Source organism: Homo sapiens, chromosome 17, assembly GCF_000001405.40.
Source record: "Homo sapiens chromosome 17, GRCh38.p14 Primary Assembly".
NCBI lineage: Eukaryota > Metazoa > Chordata > Mammalia > Primates > Hominidae > Homo > Homo sapiens.
This window is the reverse complement of record NC_000017.11, coordinates 28,003,391-28,022,834: the sequence shown is the minus strand read 5'-3', so window position 1 is coordinate 28,022,834 and position 19,444 is coordinate 28,003,391. Positions and strand designations below refer to the sequence as shown.

Genomic DNA, 19,444 nt, shown 5'->3' with positions numbered 1-19,444 from the left:
TGTCTTATTCAGCCTATATTTCCAAACCAAACACTATGCCTGATATGAGAATGAATGGTGAAATGGAAGATCTCTCCCCCACGGCTCCACTACACAAACACACATACATCCCACTCACAGTAGTGACTGTGTCCTCTAATTCCAGTACTCCCTTCACTAAGCTATGACAGTGCTCCATACAGAAGTTGTTTCAATAAATACAATCATGAAAATATAAAAAGTAATATCAGGGGAGTACTTTTACAACTAAGTAGGAAAACATGTTACAACGCTATACAATGCTACAAAGTAAAATAGTGTGCTAAATGTGCAAAAGCAAACAGGCAAATCAATGAAATAGAGTAGAAATCCCATAACAAATAAAAGTTTGTAGAAGCCAATTAAGCCAACTGAGTTTCTTTCCTCACAGGGACCTGGTGTGCCATGGCTGCAAACAGCAGCTTCCTTGTCAGGGTACGCAGACTGTTTCTTGGATGGGTTGCTCTAAGGGACCTTGGAGACAGGCCTTTCAAATGTATGTTCATGTCTCTGACCTTGCACTACCCCCAGTGTAGGCTCCAAACAGATTCCTTGGGAAAGCCCCAGGGCACTGTGGCCAGGGTTCACATAGGCCAAGTCATCATGTCCATGCGCACCAAGCTGCAGAACAAGCAGCTTGTGATTGAGGACCTATGCAGGGCCAAGTTCAAGTTACTTGGCTGCCAGAAGATCCGCATCTCAAAGAAGTGGTGCTTTACCAAATTCAAGGTGGATTAATTTTTTTTTTTGAGATGGAGCTCGCTCTGTTGCCCAGGCTGGAGTGCAGTGGCGCAATCTCAGCTCACTGCAACCTCCACCTCCCAGGTTCAAGCAATTCTCCTGCCTCAGCCTCCCAAATAGCTAGGACTACAGGTGTATGCCGCCACCCCCAGCTAATTTTTTTTGTATTTTAGTAGAGACGGGTTTTCACCATATTGCCCAGTCTGGTCTCGAACTTCTGAGCTCAGGGAATCCGTCCGTCTTGGCCTCCCAAAGTGCTGGGATTACAGGTGTGAGCCACCACGCTGGGCCCAAGGTGGATGAATTTGAAGATACGGTGGCTGAGAAGTGGCTCCTCCTACATGGCTGTGGGGCCAAGTACATCCCCAGTCGTGGTCCTCTGGACAAGTGTCCGGCCCTGCTCTAGTGAGGGCTTCCACTGTGCTGCCCCCTCCTGATGCCCACCAGTAAATCCTACTTCCTGTCCACCTATTTTTAAAAAAGTATATATAAGTATATTTCATGACAGTGACATTTTCTAATCAATTATGAAATGACCAGTTATTCAGAAAATGCTAAGACAAATTGGTTAAAGATCTGGGGTAAAAAAGAACACTCAAATTCCTATATCATATCATATGCCATTATAAATAAAGATGAATTCAGTACGCCTGTAATCCCAGCACTTTGGGAGGCCGAGGCAGGCAGATCATGAGGTCAGGAGATTGAGACCATCCTGGCCAACATGGTGAAACTCTGTCTGTACTAAAACACAAAAAATTAGCTGGGCGTGGTGGCACAAGCCTGTAGTCTCAGCTACTCGGGAGGCTGAGGCAGGGGAATTGCTTGAACCTGGGAGGCAGAGGTTGCAGTGAGCTGAGATGGCACCACTGCACTCCAGCCTGGCGACAGAGCAAGACTCCATCTCAAAAAAAAAAAAAAGTAATAACTCATATTATTGTTTACTATTTGCCAGACCTGATACCAAGTATGTCATAAGCATTAACTAATCTGAGCATCATGACAATTCTATGAGGTTGGTACTATTAATTTTATTTCTATTTTCAGATGTGTAAACAGGTTCAAAGAATTTAAGTTGATCAAGGGCTCATGACTAATAAGTCAGGGGAACTTGTACTCAAATCTAGGACCAACTAATCCAATAGCTGTGACTTACTTTTGTGTGTGGGTGTAGCTTATTCTTTTTAAAAATTTATTTTTAATTGACAAAATATAATTATATATATTTATGGAGTACAATGTGATGTTTTGATATATGTATTCGATGTGGAATGATTAAATTAAGCTAATTAACATATCCATCACCTTATATACTTATCATTTTTTTGGGGTGAGAACATTTGAAATTTACTTTCTCAGCAATTTTGAAACATGCAACACAGTATTATTAACTATAGTCACCATGCTGTGCAATAGATCTCAAAAACTCCTTCCTCTTGTCTAACTGAAACTTTGTATCCTACAGCTTTTACTCTTAACCAGTGTACTATGGTATTTTTTACTAAAGAAGTCTTAACACTCACACAACTGAGGAATTACCACTAAAAGAAAATGTTTGGAGTAGGGAAGACATTTCTCAATATAATTTAAAAAACATTAGCTTACAGCAGAAACTGTAAAGAAAAAGACTGCTAGATTTGAAATAAATATTTAAAAATTATATGATAAACAAAAGGCAAATTTAACACTCAGAAATCTTTACTTATAGATAAGGAGTTGCTGGGCACTATGGCTCATGCTTGTAACCCCAGTACTTTGGGAGGCCAAGGTGGGAGGATCGCTTGAGCCTAGCCCCAGTTTGAGACCAGCCTGGACAATAAAGTGAGACCCTGTATGTCTAAAAAAAAAAAAAAAATAGCCATGCGTAGTGGTGCATACCTGTAGTACCAGCTAATAAGGAGGCTAAGGCTGGAGGATGGCTTGAGCCCAGGAGTTCAAGGCTGCAGTGAGCTATGATGACACCACCACACTCCAGCCTGGGTGACAGAGCAAGATCCTGTCTCAAAAAAAACAAACAATAAAAAGGTTTAGTCTTAATTTTTGAAGAAATTTTATAAAACAATAACAACAACAAAAATCCAAATAGAAAGAAATGGGCAAAGAACACAAATGAAAATATTTAAATAGCCAGTAAAATTCACCCCAAAAGTTTAGCCGTAGTAGTGATCAAAGACATGCAAATTTGAACAATACTTAGATTCCATTTTTTCTGTATCAGATTGGCCAAATGAAAAATACTGTTAAAATCCGGTGTTGATTTTTTTATAGGGAAATCAGCCACTCATGAATATACTGCGGCTGGGACTGTAAATTCTTATAGCCATTTTGGAGAGTGATTTGTTAATATGTCTTAAAAGCATTAAAATACCTTTGACCCAAAAATTCCATATCATGATAAAATAGAAATAAGTGCAGAGATGAATGTTCATAAAATTGAAAGTTTGACTGAATAAAGTGGCCAGCAATAGGGGACTGGTTATGTAAATTACAGAATAACCCCATACTGGAATAATATGCAGCCTTAAAGTGATACAGATTTTAAACTCTGCTTCCAAGGGTTCCATAGAAATCCTATAGAACTCTTCGGAACCCTATGGAATCCTTTCACTAACCTATTGGAAGGTAGTAAAACGTAAATATGTAGCTAGAACTGAGGCTCCCACCTCTTTCCTTAGCCAGAACAGCTCACTTCCTATCTGTTCTATGTATTAGGGTTTTGAGTCAGAATCCATTAAAAGGCAGGGGAGGATATTTCATTAACATTGAAAAAAACTAACATTGTTGAGAAATATGTCTGAAGCTACTAACTGGCCTGTTTTATTTTATTTTGAGACAGGTTCTCACTCTGCTGCCCAGGCTGGAGTGCAGTGGTATGACCATGGCTTACTATAGCCTTGGCCTTTTGGGCTCCAAGCGATCCTCCAGCCTCAGCCTCCTGAGCAGCTAGGAGTACAGGCATGTACCACCACACCTGGCTAATTTTTTATTTTTTGTAGAGACAGGGTCTCACTATGTTGCCCAGGCTGGTTTTGAACTTCTGGGCTCAAGCAGTCCTCTTACCTCAGCTTCCCGAAGTGCTGGGATTACAGGTTTGAGTCACCATGACTGGCCCTAACTGGCCTTTAAATAAATTACTCATTTTTACTGGGTCCAAGTTTCTTTTCTTTTTCCCATCTGAGGTAGGAAAACAAGGCTGTCCAGCTTGTGTTGGTCCTGACAATGATCCTTGAGGGCTGGACTTGGCCTCCAGCCATGGCTAAGGAGAAAAGGGAGCCTCCCAGTGTCCTGATCTACAAAAATGAGACAAACACCTAAGGTCCTTGCCAATAAAAAATTCTAAGAGACTGAACTTCCACTCCAGGTTTCAAGTGTTTGTGTCTGAAATCACACCCATGTCTGCTTCCCTCCCAAAGGTTTCTCCTTGGGATGACGCTGAAGCAGTGAAGTTCCCCAGAGCTGTTATGGAGACCTGGATACGCAGCACTGTGCAGAGGGCAACATCTTGGATATGCCTCTTTAAAGGATGAATAGACTTGGAGGGAGGCCACATAGATAAGTCCGACTGGGGGCACTGCATGGGATGACAGATCTGAAATGTGTCATCTCTGCTCTGACCCCAATCTCTGTACCCTTTTTTACTCATAAGCTTTTTATTTTAGAATGGTTTTAGATTAACAAAAACGTTGTAAAGACAGTATGGAGTTCCCATATACCGCTTACAAAGTTTCCCCTATTGCTAACATCTTACATTACTGAGGTACTTTTGTCACAACTAAAGAACCAACATTGGTACATTGTTATATATATATATATATATTTTTTTTCTTTTCTTTTCTTTTTTTTTCAGAAACAGGGTCTTGCTATGTTGCCCAGGATGGCTTCAAACTCCTGGACTCAAGCGATTCTCCTGCCTCAACCTCTCAAGTAGCTGGTACTACAGGCACGAGCCAATGCACCCTGGTATATTAATATTAACTAAACTCCACACTCTATCCAATTTCACTGTTTTTAAAAGTGTCCCTTTTTGGTTCCAGGATCCCAGGCAGGATATCACATTACATTTAGTTGTTATGTCACTTTAGCCTCCTCTGATCTGTGACACTCCCAGACTTTTCCTGTCCTTGATGACCTTAAAGATTTTAAGTGGTACTGGTATGTTGTAGAATGTCTCTCAATTTGGGATTTTTTTTTTTTTTTGAGGCAGGGTTTTACTCTGTTGCCCAGGCTGGAGTGCAGTGGTGCAATCATAGCTCGCTGCAGCCTCCAACTCCTGGGCTCAAGCGATTCTCTCATATCGACTTCCAAAGTGCTGGGATTGTAGGTGTGAGCCACCATGCTTAGATTTTTTTTTTCTTAAGACAGTCTCACTGTGTTGTCCAGGCTGGAGTGCAGTGGCGTGATTAATCAGAGCTCACTGCAGCCTTGGCTTTCTGGGCTCAGCTGATTCTCCCACCTCAGCCTCTCGAATAGCTGGGACCACAGGTGGGCACCACCACACCTGGTTAATTTTTGTATTTTTTGTAGAGGCAGTTTTCGCCATGTTGCCCAGGCTGTGCCTGATGGATTTTTTTTGAAATGAATACCTTAAATTTACTCATTTGCCCAGTTGCAAGATTCTCCAAGGCTTTATTTATGCTGGCGTAGCCAGCATCTTTTTAAAAAATGACATTTATATATACTCACTTAGGTAAATTAATGTACCCATCTCAACTGTTCCCTTTGGCTACACGGACAAACTCATATTCCAAAGAATATGACCCTAAAACTGAAAAGATGCAACAACGCTTCAGGCTTTGTGCTGATACATTTGTTAGAAACATTGGATGAGATGATACAGAGCATTTTACACCGTGCCTGACACATAATTGGCACTCAATACATATTAGCTATTGTTATTGAGAAGTACTAGGTCTTTTCTTCTTACATTTCTTGGCATTTGTTAAGTCATGACATTGTGCCAGAGATTACATGGATGGAAAGGTAAAGTGTAAGGAGTAAGGAGATGGGGTGAGAGGCATTTCATGATTTGTCAAATTTTGAATAAAGGAACCTCACTTCTTACAAAAATAAAAAGTACTGGAAATGCAGTAGTAAGTAAAGAACAAGGATGTACACCTGAAGGTAATATTATAAATCAGGAATATAGGAAAAACCACCTGGACCTGGCCTGGCTTTTTTTTTTTTTTCAGGTTCTCACTCTGTTGCCCAGGCTGGACTGCAGTGGCATAATCTTGGCAGCCTTGACCTCCCAGGCTCAGATGATCCTCCCATCTCAGCCTCCTGAGTAGCTGGGACTACAGACACACCCACTATGTCTGGCTGGCCTTGCATTTTGATTTGTTAAAAAATATTTAGTGATAACTTACTATGTGCCAGGCATTGTGTTAGGCATGAGGATACAACAGTTAATAGACAGATTTGGTTCTTACCCTCATGGAGTTTGCTGTCTACTGAGGGACACAACAGTTAATAAAGTAAACATTTCTAGCCATTGAAACTATAAATAATAACAATAAACAAATAAACAAATGGATATGCAATTATAAATTGTGGTAAACAATAACCATCTCTAACAGACAATTCAAACTCGATTTGTCCAAATTAAGTTCTTTTTTCCCTTGTGCCTTGTCCAGTGTTCTCCATCTCAGTAAATGACACCATCATTCACCAATTACTTAGGTCAAAAACCTTGAAGTGATCCTTGACTCAGAATTTTCCCATATCTCAGTCAATCTTGTCTTTTGGCTGTACCTTCCAAAGTTATCCTGAATTCAACCTCTTCTTGCCATTCCTGAGACTACCCTATTGCCCAAGGCATCATCATCTCTCACCAGGAATATACAATGCATCTTGCTGCTTTTAACCTTTCTCCTGTGAGGACTCTTCTCTGCACACCAGTAAGAATGATCCTTTTTAGCATTCTCCCCAGATATATAATGCCCAGGAATAAGTTTAACCAAGGTGATGAAAGACTTGTACACTGAAAACTATAAAAGCATTGCTGAAAAAATTTAAGGAAGACCTATAGAAACGGAAAGACATTCCTTGTTCATAGGTTGGAGACTTAATATTATTTAGATGGCAGTAAAGCCCGAAGTGATTTACATACTCAATGCAATCCCTATCATAATTTTAAAGACTTTTTTGCAGAAATGGAAAAGCCAATCCTCAGATTAAAATGTAATTGCAAAGGACCTCAAATAGTCAAAATGATATTGAAGGAAAAGAACAATGTTGGAAGAGTTATACTTCCCAATTTCAAAACTTACTACAAAGGTACACTAATTAAAACTGTATGGTACTGGCATAAGGATAGAGATATAGAAGAGAATTGAAAGTCCAGAAATAAACTCACACGTTTATGGTGCTGATTTTTGACAAGGACACCAAGTCCATGCAATATAGAAAGAATAATCTCTTCAACAAATGGTGCTGGGACAATTGGATAACCACATACAAAAAAATTAAGTTGGATACCTACTTCATACCATAAGCAAAAATTACCTTAAAATGCATTAATGACATAAATACAAGAGTTAAAACCACAGAACTCTTAGAAGAAAACAAAGATAAATCTTCATGATCTCGGATTTGGCAATGAATTCTTACATAGAACACCAAAAGTATGAGCAATAAACAAATAAATTTTGTGCCTCAAAGGATAGTTTTAGAAAGTAAAATGACAACTTACAGAATGGTCAAAAATATTTGTAAATTATATATTTGGTAAGGGTCTACTATCTGGACTATAAAGAACTCTTACAACTCAACAATAAAAAGACAAACAACCCAACTTTAAAGTTGGCAAAAAGTGCAGGGCAGGGTCGCATGTGCTTGTAGCCCCAGCTACTCAGGAGAAGAATTGCTTCAGCCTAGGAGTTCAAGTGTAGACCAGGTAATATTGCAAGATCCAGGCTCTAAGAATAAATAATTATTTTTTTTAAATGGGAAAAAACTTGAATAGACATTTCTCCAAAGAGAATGTACAAATGGCCAACAAGCACATAAAAATACTAAGCATCATTAGTTATTAGGGCATGACACCTACTAAGAGGGCTATAATTAAGAAAAGATAGATAATAGTAAGTGTTGATCAGGATGTGAAGTAATTGGAACCCTCTTATATCGCTGGTGGGAATGTAAAATGGTTCAGCCATGGTGGAAAACAGTTTGTTGGTTCCTTAAAATGTTAAATACAGAATTATCATATGACCCAGCAATTCCAAGAAGTGTATAAATGAGGACTGTATTTGTCTGCTACTCAAAGACATGTACATCCATGTTCACAACAACACTATTTACAATGGCTGAAAGGTGGAAACAGCCCAAATATCCATCAATGGATGAATGTATAAACAAATTATGGCATATCCATACAATGGAATGTTATTCAGCCATGAAAAGAAATGAAGTACGGATAAACACTACAATGTGGATGACCCTTGAAAACATTGTGCTAAATGAAAGGAGCCAGACACAAAAGGTCATCTATTGCATGATTCCATTTACATGAAATATTCACAATAGGAAAATCCAAAGAGATAGAATGAAGATTGATGTTTGCTAGAGGCTGGGGGCAGGAGAGAATAGGGAGCAACTGCTTAATGGCTAAGGGATTTCCTTTTGGGGTGATGACAATGTTTTGGAAGATAGAGGTGGTGGTTGCCCCACATTGTGAATGTGATACATGTCACTAAATTGTTCGCTTTAAAATGGTTAATTTTATGTATGAGAATTTCACCTTAAAAAAAAAAAGCCCTTGAAGGTCTGGGGTGGTGGCTCACACCTGTAACCTTTGGAAGGCCAAGGTGGGTGGATTGCTTGAGCTCGGAAGTTTGAGACCAGCCCGGGCAACATGGTGAAACCTTGTCTCTACCAAAAATATAAAAACTTAGCTGGGCATGGTGGCGTGCATCTGTGGTCCCAGCTACTTTGGAGACTGAGGTAGGAGGAACCGTTGAGCTTAGGGGGCAGAGGTTGCAATGAGCCAAGATTACTCCACTGCACTCCAGCCTGGGAGACAGAGTGAGATTCCCTCTCAAAAACAAAAACAAAAACAAATACAAAACAAAACAAAACAAACAAAAAGTCCTTTTAAGAAGATTCTATCATTTCACCATTAGTGGTTTAAGATGAGGTTGAAGAGTAAGCTTAGGCCATATCAAGCAGGGACTTGGAATCAAGCTTTATGGGATGCCAAATCATGATTAATCAAAAGCTATTCACCATGAAAGACTGCTTTCTTGGGGACCAGAAATATAGACGAGTGTTTTCTCTTCCTTTAAGAGAGGGGGCCAGAAGGTTGTTTGAAGAAGCAAGGAATTAGCACCAGGGATATTAGGTTGATTGATGCCTACTGACATCAGCCTCGGGTGGCCTGACTCATCCTTCTTGTGATAGTGATGGTTTTGCCAATGGTTCATGATACTTAAGGTCTAATTGCTGAGGCTCCCTCAGGGATGGGCACTACCAGTCCTTGCTTCAGTGGCTTCCCTTCGTCTATGTTCTCTTGACTGACCAACCTTCTCTTTCCTCTGCACTATCCATCCATTCAATTTGGCACATTCTTTAGGTTTGGTAATATCTTCAGTTATGCCTAGGAGCTGCCCCGTCTCCTTCAGGTGACTAAGCATATGTCTAATCCCATCCACATCTTATTTAAGGCCCATGGGGTGTGTGTGTGTGTGTGTGTTTTTTAATGGGCACCTCATTTATAGACTCCATGTAGCCACAATACTCCCAAAGTAACTCAAATGGCTGGATAATTCTCTGTTCAGTAGCTTTCAATTAGGACTAAATCAAGTGAAGTAAAATCATCTACGGAGATTTTCTGAACTTTATATGATTAAAATCCTACCCCAAGCTAATTCTGACAGACCAGAGGATTGGGGTGGGTGGAGTGGACAAGCATGAATATTTTAGATTATCTCTGCTGTGATTCTGAAAACCTTTCTCCATTTCCATCCTTGTGATAACTATCATATACTTCAAAGGGGCTACTGGCTCTGGGCAGGAATCTGACACACAGAGATGCTTACCAAGGTAACTGTCCCTTTAACATATGAATCCAGAGCCCAGTTGCTTTTGAAGGGACAGGAAGATCCCACAAAACTGCCTTGGATACTTCTCCATCAGCCAAGTCTTTGCCACTATTTTTGTTTCAGAACCACCCACTTAGTTGAGGCTTTCTTTCTCAGGAAAGACATTTACCCACCAGAGTTCTCACCCACCAGAGAGTGGGAAAGAAGAGAACTGGTGGAAGTAGGAGCTGCAAGGCAAAAAGAATATTTGTCACTTGCAGACTGATTCTGCCCCTCTACTACTTCTTTGCAACAGGAAAGATGGACACTACAGGGATTTAGAAGTGAAGAAAAGGGTGAATGATTTCACAATTTACTTTGTGGTGGTAGAGGGTAGAAATGCAGGTCGAATCCCCTTCATAAATGATCAAATCCCTCAACTCCTTGGAATCTGGGTTGATGAGATAAGCAGAGTACAATGCCAGCTTCAGATTACTCCAATTGCAGATGGCGGTGCTTGTCAATGGAGATGATCATTTTTCCATGGGAGATTTGGAAGATAAGAGGAAGAGGAACCAGTATTACTATTAAAATTCTAACAGCATTGAGTTGGCCATTTGATTCTTTGGGTTTGGACAACAGTAAGATATGAGTGGTTTTCAGCAGTGGAAATTTAAATCTGTCAGTGTGTCAGTAAGTTGCTTTAGAGCAATCTACCAGAGCCTGTTGGTGACAGTAAGAAATGGTTCTGTCCCACCTTTCTCCCTCAGTTTCTCTCCCTAAAAGCAAAGACCACACTAAGAGGTTCACCCTGAGAGGTGGCCAAATCAACATAGCATGGTGACTAAGCATGGTGCTTTGGAATTGCAGCTTCCAAAATGGAACTTATTTCTTTGGCAGACATAGCCAGATGTGGCCTACAGAAATATTTTGTGTGGCCCACATATTTTTTTAACTTTCATCTGAGCCAATATTTAGAAATCCCAGTATCTGCTCTCTCTTCTCTGTCTATGCCTCTCTCTCTCTCTCCACCTCCCTCTCCTTGTCTCCTTCTCTATCTCTCATATCGGAAGCTCTGGTAATACTGATCCTGCATTTCTGCATGGCAGGGATAGACTGAAACTGAGAAGTAGCATCTCTCTTGGGCAGTTCACCATAGTTCCCACCACCCACACAGCACATGGATGTACTTTTATACCCAAGGCCATTTGATCTCGGACCTCCTTTGGTGTGCAGGAAGCTATTGACATGTCCCAGACCACTCAAAACCCAAAGAAGGAAGCATCAGATGTCTAACCAGAAAAGTCTAACGAGAACCCCCAAGTGCAAACTCCCTTTAGTTGTAATGGGCAAAACACATGAGACATTCCTGTAGATAGTCCTCCTGGAAGATGTGCCATATGATGAAGAAAGCAGTGGCTTCTCTGTAATAATGCAGAAGTGATTAACATTGATCCCTGAGCAAACAGTTATCTCTTATGCCCCAATAAGCTCATTTCTAGGATAACCAAACACTCCTAATGCAGTTGTTCTCCACTGAGGTGAGTGCACTGAGGTTGAGAAAGTGTCCTTGGTACTGACACATGCCACCACTGCTTCTGATTGACAATCACTCTGTTCTAACCAGTCTGAGTCTGTGTGATCACTTTTTTTTTTTGCTTTGAGACAGAGTTTCACTCTTGTTGCCCAGGCTGGAGTGCAATGGCGCATGTGTGATCACTTCTATGGTAACTATAGCTCCTCCTTCAGAACTATGTCTTGGCTCTGAATCCCTGGGGATTATGTTACAACTAAAGGGAGAAGGAGGAACCCTGAGGATTATAAATGTTGCCAAGGGCAGTGGTGGTTCCTAAATCTATCTATGCATCAGAATCACTTAGACATTTTTTAATGTTCATGTTCCTGGGCTTGATTACACTCCTGCTGTGTTAGTCCATTTGTATAGCTATAAAGGAGTATCTGAGGCTGGATAATTTATAAAGAAAAGAGGTTTCATTGATTCATGGTTCTGCAGGCTTTACAGGAAGCACACTGCCAGAATCTGCTTCTGGTGAGGGCCTCAGGAAACTTCCAATTATGATGGAAGAAAAAGGGGAAGCAGGTGCATCGCATGGCGAAAGCAGGAGCAAGAAAGAGAGAGGGAAGAGGTGTCACACTCTTTTAAACAACCAGCTCTCACATGAACTCAGCGAGAACTCACTTATCACCAAGGGGATGATACTTCATTTATGAGGGATCTGCCTCCATGATCCAATCACCTCCCACTAGGCCCTGTGAACATTGGGAATCACGTTTCAACATGAGACTAGGAGGGGACAAACATCCAAAACATATCAGCTACTGGATTATACTCTTTGGGAATGGAATCCAGCTCTTTGCGTTCTTCACATGCCCACCAGATGATTCTAATGCAGCTGTCCTAGCACCAGCCTGTGCCTCTAAGACAACTTTAGAGAGGCATTGGTTCACAGATGTGGAGGATTCTCTGGAACCTCCCACATTCATTCTGGAATCAGCAACTTCATGCCCCACACTCAATCCCTATCATGCCATCAGAGCCTTTTGTCCTACTGGAGTTTCTGATGTCACAGACAGTGGCTTAACACTATAGTCTGGTGTCAAAACTGACCTGAGCATAAATCTTTCCTCTGCCACTTGCAAACTGAGTGGTCTTAAGTAAGTTGTGACCCCTCCTCAAACTTCAGCTTCTCATCTGTGAAACAGTGATAGTAACACCTACCTCCCAGAGTTGCTGTGACAACTCCTTGAGATAGCATGTGTAAAGATTTGCAACTCGAGATTTGTGTACATGATTGTTATATGGTAAATCCTGGCTCATTTTCTTGCCTTCCAGAAGTAGGGTCAGTTCAGTACTCGTAGGAACTCTTTTTTTTTTTTTTTTTTTTGAGACGGAGTCTTACTCTGTTGCCCAGGCTGGAGTGCAGTGGCGCGATCTCGGCTCACTGCAAGCTCTACCTCCCAGGTTCACATCATTCTCCTGCCTCAGCCTCCCAAGTAGCTGGGACTACAGGTGCCCGCCACCACACCCAGCTAATTTTTTTGTATTTTTTTTAGTAGAGACGGGGTTTCACCGTGTTAGCCAGGATGGTCTTGATCTCCTGACCTCATGATCCACCCGCCTTGGCCTCCCAAAGTGCTGGGATTACTGGTGTGAGCCACAGCACCCAGCCAGGAACTCTTAATTGGGACTTTTCCTCCAGGTGTCCTAATACCAGAGTACCTATGTCAGCCCACAACCCAATTTAGAGAAGAAAGACCCCAATTTAAGAATGTATGGCCCGGCACCATGGCTCATGCCTGTAACGCCAGCAGTTTGGGGGACTGAGGCAGGCAGATCACTTGAGGTCAGGAGTTTGAGACCAGCCTGGCCAACATGGTGAAACCACGTCTCTACCAAAAAAAAAAAAAAAATACAAAAATTAGCCGGGCATGGTGGTGCACACCTGTAATCCCAGCTACTCAGGAGGCTGAGGCAGGAGAATCACTTGAACCTGGGAAGCAGAGATTGTAGTGAGCCAAGATGGCATCACTACACTCCAGCCTGGGTGACAGAGTGAGATCCTCTCTCTCTCTCTCTCTCTCACTCTCTCTCTCATTCTCTCTCTCTCTTTCTATATATATGTATATATATGTATATACATACACACACACACACACACACACAGACACACACACACACTTTGGCTTTATGTTAAAATTTGAGAATCTGCTCCATTTGCTAATGTAAGTATGCTTCAGTTTAGTTCTCTTAAATAAAGCAAAAGCTACTCCCCATGGCAACAGTTATGGGACTCCTCCCATAGTCCACGCCTGTCTTGGGGAGAAGAGAGAGAATTATTTAAGTGACATGTTCTCAAAATAAGGCCAAAGAACAAGCTCCCCAAAATGTGCCCTAATTCCCTTGATAATTTGTGAAAAGCTGAGGCAGCTACATAAGCATTTTCCTAAGACATGGAAAATAAAGCCAGGGAGAATGCAACTATAAAAGACATTAATTTCAACCCAGAAGGGGCTCATTAAAAAACTTTAAAAAGTTATACTGTTTTCAAAACATAAGCTTTATGTCAGAACCAGCCTCAATAGATAACAATGAAGCCTTTCCCAAAAAGTGGTGATACAGGTTTAGAAAATGTATTTACCTGAGCAGGCTTGTCTAACCTGATTTGTTTTGGAATCAGATGCCTTCAGGTACCTTCTGGTATGCCAAGCCTATGGACTCTGGCCTGAGTACTTGAAGCTATGGCAAGAAGGGCAAGAAAGGAAGGGAAATCTTGATCAGAACCATGGGCAGAGGCCAGGTTCTGGAATTAAGAGTTAAGGAAGTCCTGGAGGAGGAGCTGTCCATACACGTGGTGCTGATGACCCCAGCAGGTTGCCACTGTGAGGCTACAGGGAGCAACAGTGCATCAAGCAATCTTGGAGTCCTGGGAGAGTCTTACCTTGTGAATTTATGTACTTCAAATGGGGTTTAGGGTATTCATAGATCAGGATGGAATGCACTCGAATCAGGTAAGGCCATCAAAGCCTGCTGTCCTTGCTCTGCCCAGACGTAGAATATGACTCACAAACACCACAAGGAATTGCAGATATCACATCCCAAGAATCTCACAGAGGGAATGAGGTATAAAATTGGCATTTTCTGAGCACCCAGCTGCCTGTGTTAGACTCTTTACTTCCAATAATTCATTTTAATTTTAAGATACAGGTTCTTCTTCTTCTTTTTCTTCTTCTTTTTTTTTTTTTGACAGGTTCTCACTCTGCCACTCAGGCTGGAGCGCATAGCTCACTGTGGCCTTGAACTTCTGGTCTCAAGCGATCCTCCCACCTCAGCCTCTCAAAGTGCTGAGATTACAGGCATGAGCCACCAAACCCAGTCCACTATCCTCAATTTTATTTATTTATTTATTTATTTATTTATTTATTTATTTATTTATTTATTTTGAGATGAGTCTTGCTTTGTCACCCAGGCTGGAGTGCAGTGGTGCAATCCCGGCTCACTGAAACCTCCACCTCCTGGGTTCAAGTGATTCTCCTGCCTTAGCCTACTGAGCAGCTGGGATTACAGCCACCCGTCACCATGCCCAACTAATTTTTGTATTTTTAGTAGAGACTTGGTTTCACCATGTTGGCCGGGTTGGTCTGGAACTCCTGATCTCAAGTGATCTGCCTGCCTCAGCCTCCCAAAGTGCTGGAATTACAGGAATGAGCCACTGTGCCCAGCCACTATTCTCATCTTAAACTGGGAAACTGGCCAGGTGCAGTGGCTCACACCTGTAATCCCAGCACTTTAGGCAGCTGAAGCGGGAGAACTGCTTGAATCCAGGAGTTTGAGATCAGCCAAACAACATGGTGAGACTCCCATCTCTACAAAATTTTTAAAAATTAGCCAGGTATGGTGGTGTGCACCTGTAGTCCCAGCTACTCAGGAGGCTGAGGCAGGATGATCACTTGAGCCCAGGAGGTTGAGGCTGCAGTGAGCCATGTTTGCACCACTGCACTCCAGCCTGGGTGACAGAGCAAGACCTTATCTCAAATAAATAAATAAATAAATAAATAATTAGGGGAAACAAAACTCAGAAAAGTTAAGCAAATTTATCCAGTGTTCCACAACTAGTAAGTGGTCATCATCCTCCTTAAACTGCAACCTCTGTATATGAAATATGTCTAACTTACAAGCTTTTTCCTTTTACCATGTGCAATTTTCCTAGGGCTGAAGCCAAGACCTTGGTAGAACCATGTCTATTTGTTGGAAAGGAGGGTGGCCCTAGGAAATCGACTCAGGAAGGAGGTATTTAGGCCAGAATCTGGAGGCACAACATTAACTTCATGGCCTTTGCTCTGCCTGAGAGGGGCATCAGTGAAAATCATGCTTACCTTCTTCCTCAACCAGGAACCCATCATTTGTAGTTACTAACAAGGTGAAGCTAACTCTGCCAATAAATGGAGGTGACTTCAATTCTGATATTTTCCCCAATAGGGAGCACAGGCAGCACTGAATATGTCCCAAATGAACTCATTTCTTACCTCACTCTAGTTTTCCTTTTGTCCTATCTGTCTCAGCTATTTCACTGACCCAAGCTGTAAATCAGACATCCATAACTGACCCTTTCCGCATTCTTGTTCTTCTAGCCTTGCCAAGCTCTCCTCGTCGGTGTTACCTCCATATATCTTTGCAATTCTTCCACTTTTCTCATTTCTACTGCCACTTCCCTGGTGGAGGTGACCATCATCTCCTGCCTAGACTATTGCAGTAGACTCCTCGCTGGTCCCCTTGCCTCCAATTTTGTCGTCTGCAAGTCTTTCAAAGTGATCCCAAATGCAAAGCTGACCATGTTATTTCCCCACATTTAACGTACTGAGCATAGTACAGTGGTTAAGAGCGAGAGCTCCAAAGACAAACTACCTGGTTTTTTATCCCAGCTCTGTCATTACTGTGCATCCCTGCACAAGTCACTTAACTTAGACTTCATAACTGTAGAATGGGAATGATAGTAATGATACCTTCTTCAAAGAGTTGTTCTTGAGGATTACATAGTACCAGCTACTGCCTCATTTCTTTTATCTCCTTTACAGCAAAACTCTTTGAAAGGATTTTTAAAACTTTTTATTATAGAAAGATTCAAACATACATGAAGGCCAGGCGCAGTGGCTTATGCCTATAATCCCAGCACTTTGGGAGGCTGAGGCGGGCAGATCATCTGAGGTCAGGAGTTTGAGACCAGCCTGGCCAACATGGTGAAACCCCATCTCTACTAAAAATACAAAAATTAGTCAGGTGTGGTGGCATGTGCCTGTAATACCAGCTACCTGGGAGGCGGAGGCAGGAGAATTGCTCAAACTCAGAAGGCGGAGGTTGCAGTGAGCTGAGATCGCACCACTGCACTCCAGCCTGGGTGACAGAGTGAGACTGTCTCAAAAACAAACAAAAAAACATATGTCAAAGAGAAAAAGACTTAGTATATTCTCATGTACGCATCACCAGATTTTCAGTACTTATCAGTTTATGGCTAATGTTTTATGTCTCACCTCTTCTCCTGGATTATTCTGCAACAAATCTCAGGCATATAGTTTCATCTGTAGAATTTTCAATATGTACTTCTAAAAGATAGGAGCTCTTTTACAAAAAAAACCTCACACTGTATCATATCCAAAAAATAACAGTAATTTTTTCCCCTATTTTTTGTAGTAATGGAATCTTACTCTGTCACCTAGTCTGGAGTACAGTGGTATGATCATGACTTACTGCAATCTTAACTTCCTGGGTTCAAGCAGTCCTCCCACCTCAACCTCCCAAATAGCTGGGATTACAGGCACACACCACCAGGCCCTGTTAATTTTAAAATGTTTTTTTTGTAGAGATGGAGGTCTCCCTATGTTGCCTGGGCTGGTCTCGAACTCTTGGGTTCAAGTAATCTTCCTGTTTCAGTCTCACAAAGTACTGGGATTACAGGTGGGAGGCACTGTGCCCAGCCTCAGTAATTCTTTGATATAATCAAGAATCCAGTCATTGTCCAAATTTTCAATTATTTCAAATGTCAGGATTTTTTTCAGTGTTGTTTGTTTGAATCAAGCTATAAATAAGAATCATTCATTGTAATTTGTTGATTTACCTTTAAATCTCGTTTAATTTAGAGGTTTCTCTCTCCACCCTTTTTTTCATTTTTGCCATGTTTTTGTTGAAGAAACAAGACCATTTTTTCCTGTAGATTTTCCCCCAGACTGGATTTTCCTGTTGCATCCCTGTGGTGTTGCTAAATGGGTTCCTCTCTCCCTGTGGTTTTTATAAATTGATAGAACTAGAGGCTTAATTAGATTCAGGCTCTTTGTTATTTGGAAGTACATATTTCTTTTTATAGTGCCATTGGTGAGCATTGTCAAGATCCATTCATTCATCAGGAGTTGCAAAAATGATGATATTCTATTATTCCTTCTTTTTTTTTTTTTGAGACAGGGTCTCACTTTGTTGCCCAGGCTGGAGTGTAGTGGCATGAACATGGCTCACGGCTGACTTACCCTCCTAGGCTCAGGTGATCCTCCTACCTCAGCCTCCTAAGTAACTGGGACTATGGGTGCACCACCATCGCCAGCTAATTTTTGTATTTTTTGTAGAGATGGGGTTTCACCAGGTTGCCCAGGCTGGTCTTGAATTCCTGGGCTTCCAAGCTGCTGACATTACAGGCATGAGCTACTGCAGTAGGCCCTCATTCCTTCATTATTTGCTGGCTGAATACATCTACATGAAACTTCTCCTCATTAACTCTGGTTACCTTGAGGAAAAAGAGGATAGATATTTGGAGTTTTTTTTTCCCATTTACTTGCTAATTTTCAAAATAATGAATTGGTTCAGTTTCACTTTCTTTTAAATCTACTTTAGCCAGGATTTCACTCCCACAACACCACTGAACCTACTGTGGTTCATTCCTCATAATGATGCATCAGCAGCATTTAGCACTGAGGATCAATCTCTTCTTGAAACACTGACTTTACTTGGCTTTGAAGACACCACATCCTTTCGGTTTTCTCTCATCTCATTGACCTCACCATTTCAGTCTCCTTTGCTGGTTCATCCTTATCTTAAACTCTTATGTTGGAGTACCCCAGGGCTGTCTTTAAACTTCTTCTCTGTATATACACTTGGATCCTTGGAGATCTCATTCGGTCTCATTGTTTTAAAAATGCCATTTTTATACTAAATACTCACATATTTCTATCTCCAGTCTATGCCTCACCTCCAAACTTCAGACTCACATGCAACTGTCTACTTTATATCTGTGTTTGGAGTGTAACAGGCATTTCAAACCCAACCTGTCTGAAATCTAATTCCCAGTTTTCTCCTAAAACCAGCTTCATCCACATTCTTCGTCATTTTAGTTAATGACAACATTCTTCCAATTGCTCTGGCCAGAATTTCTGGAGTAACTTTTGAGTCCTCTTTTCCTCTCTTATCCCATATCTAATTTTGGGGAAAATGTATTGATTCAAAATACAATACATGGGGCTGGGTGTGGTAGCTGAGGCCTGTAATCCTAGCACTTTGGGAGGCTGAGGTCACTTAAGGTCAGGAGATTGAGACCAGCCTGGCCAACATGATGAAATTCCATCTCCACTAAAAATACAAAAATTAGCCGTGTGCGGTGGTGCACACCTGTAATCCCAGCTACTCGGGAGGCTAAGGCAGGAGAATTGCTTGAAGCCAGGCAGCAGAGGTTACAGTGAGCCAAGATCATGCCACTGTACTCCAGCCTGGGTGACAGAGCAAGACTCCATCTCAAAAACAAACAAACAAAAATAAAAAAGGCCCCCCCAAAATATAGTACATGCAAAGATCAGATCACTTCTCACATCTGCCACTGATGCCACTCTGGTCTAAATCTCTATCATCTCTCACCAGGATTATTGCAATACTCTCCAGTTGCATGCTATTTCTCCTGTCCTCATCCTCCACTTTCACTTGCATTGCTACCATTCAAAATTTGACACTCAGCTCAGTCATCCCTTCTTCACATAGCAGCCAGAGTAACTCTTTTAAAATATGTCCAGTTATAGTACTTCCCCCTTAAAACTCTCCACAGGTTCTCATCTCACTCAGAGATGCCCAAGTCCCTAAAATGACCTTTAGGGCCCTACATGATCTGTACCTCTGC

At 41.5% G+C, this 19,444-nt stretch overlaps 1 non-coding gene and 1 pseudogene across 1 annotated transcript; one reads left to right on the top strand and one right to left on the bottom strand.

Annotated features, from left to right (window-relative positions):
- Positions 1 to 370: 370 nt before the first annotated feature.
- Positions 371 to 505, top strand: LOC124900393 (small nucleolar RNA SNORA70). Its single transcript, XR_007065987.1, has one exon. It is a non-coding gene; the product is annotated as a small nucleolar RNA SNORA70 (small nucleolar RNA).
- A 3,422-nt stretch (positions 506 to 3,927) lies between these two features.
- LOC124900402 (uncharacterized) lies at positions 3,928 to 4,065 on the bottom strand (annotated as a pseudogene).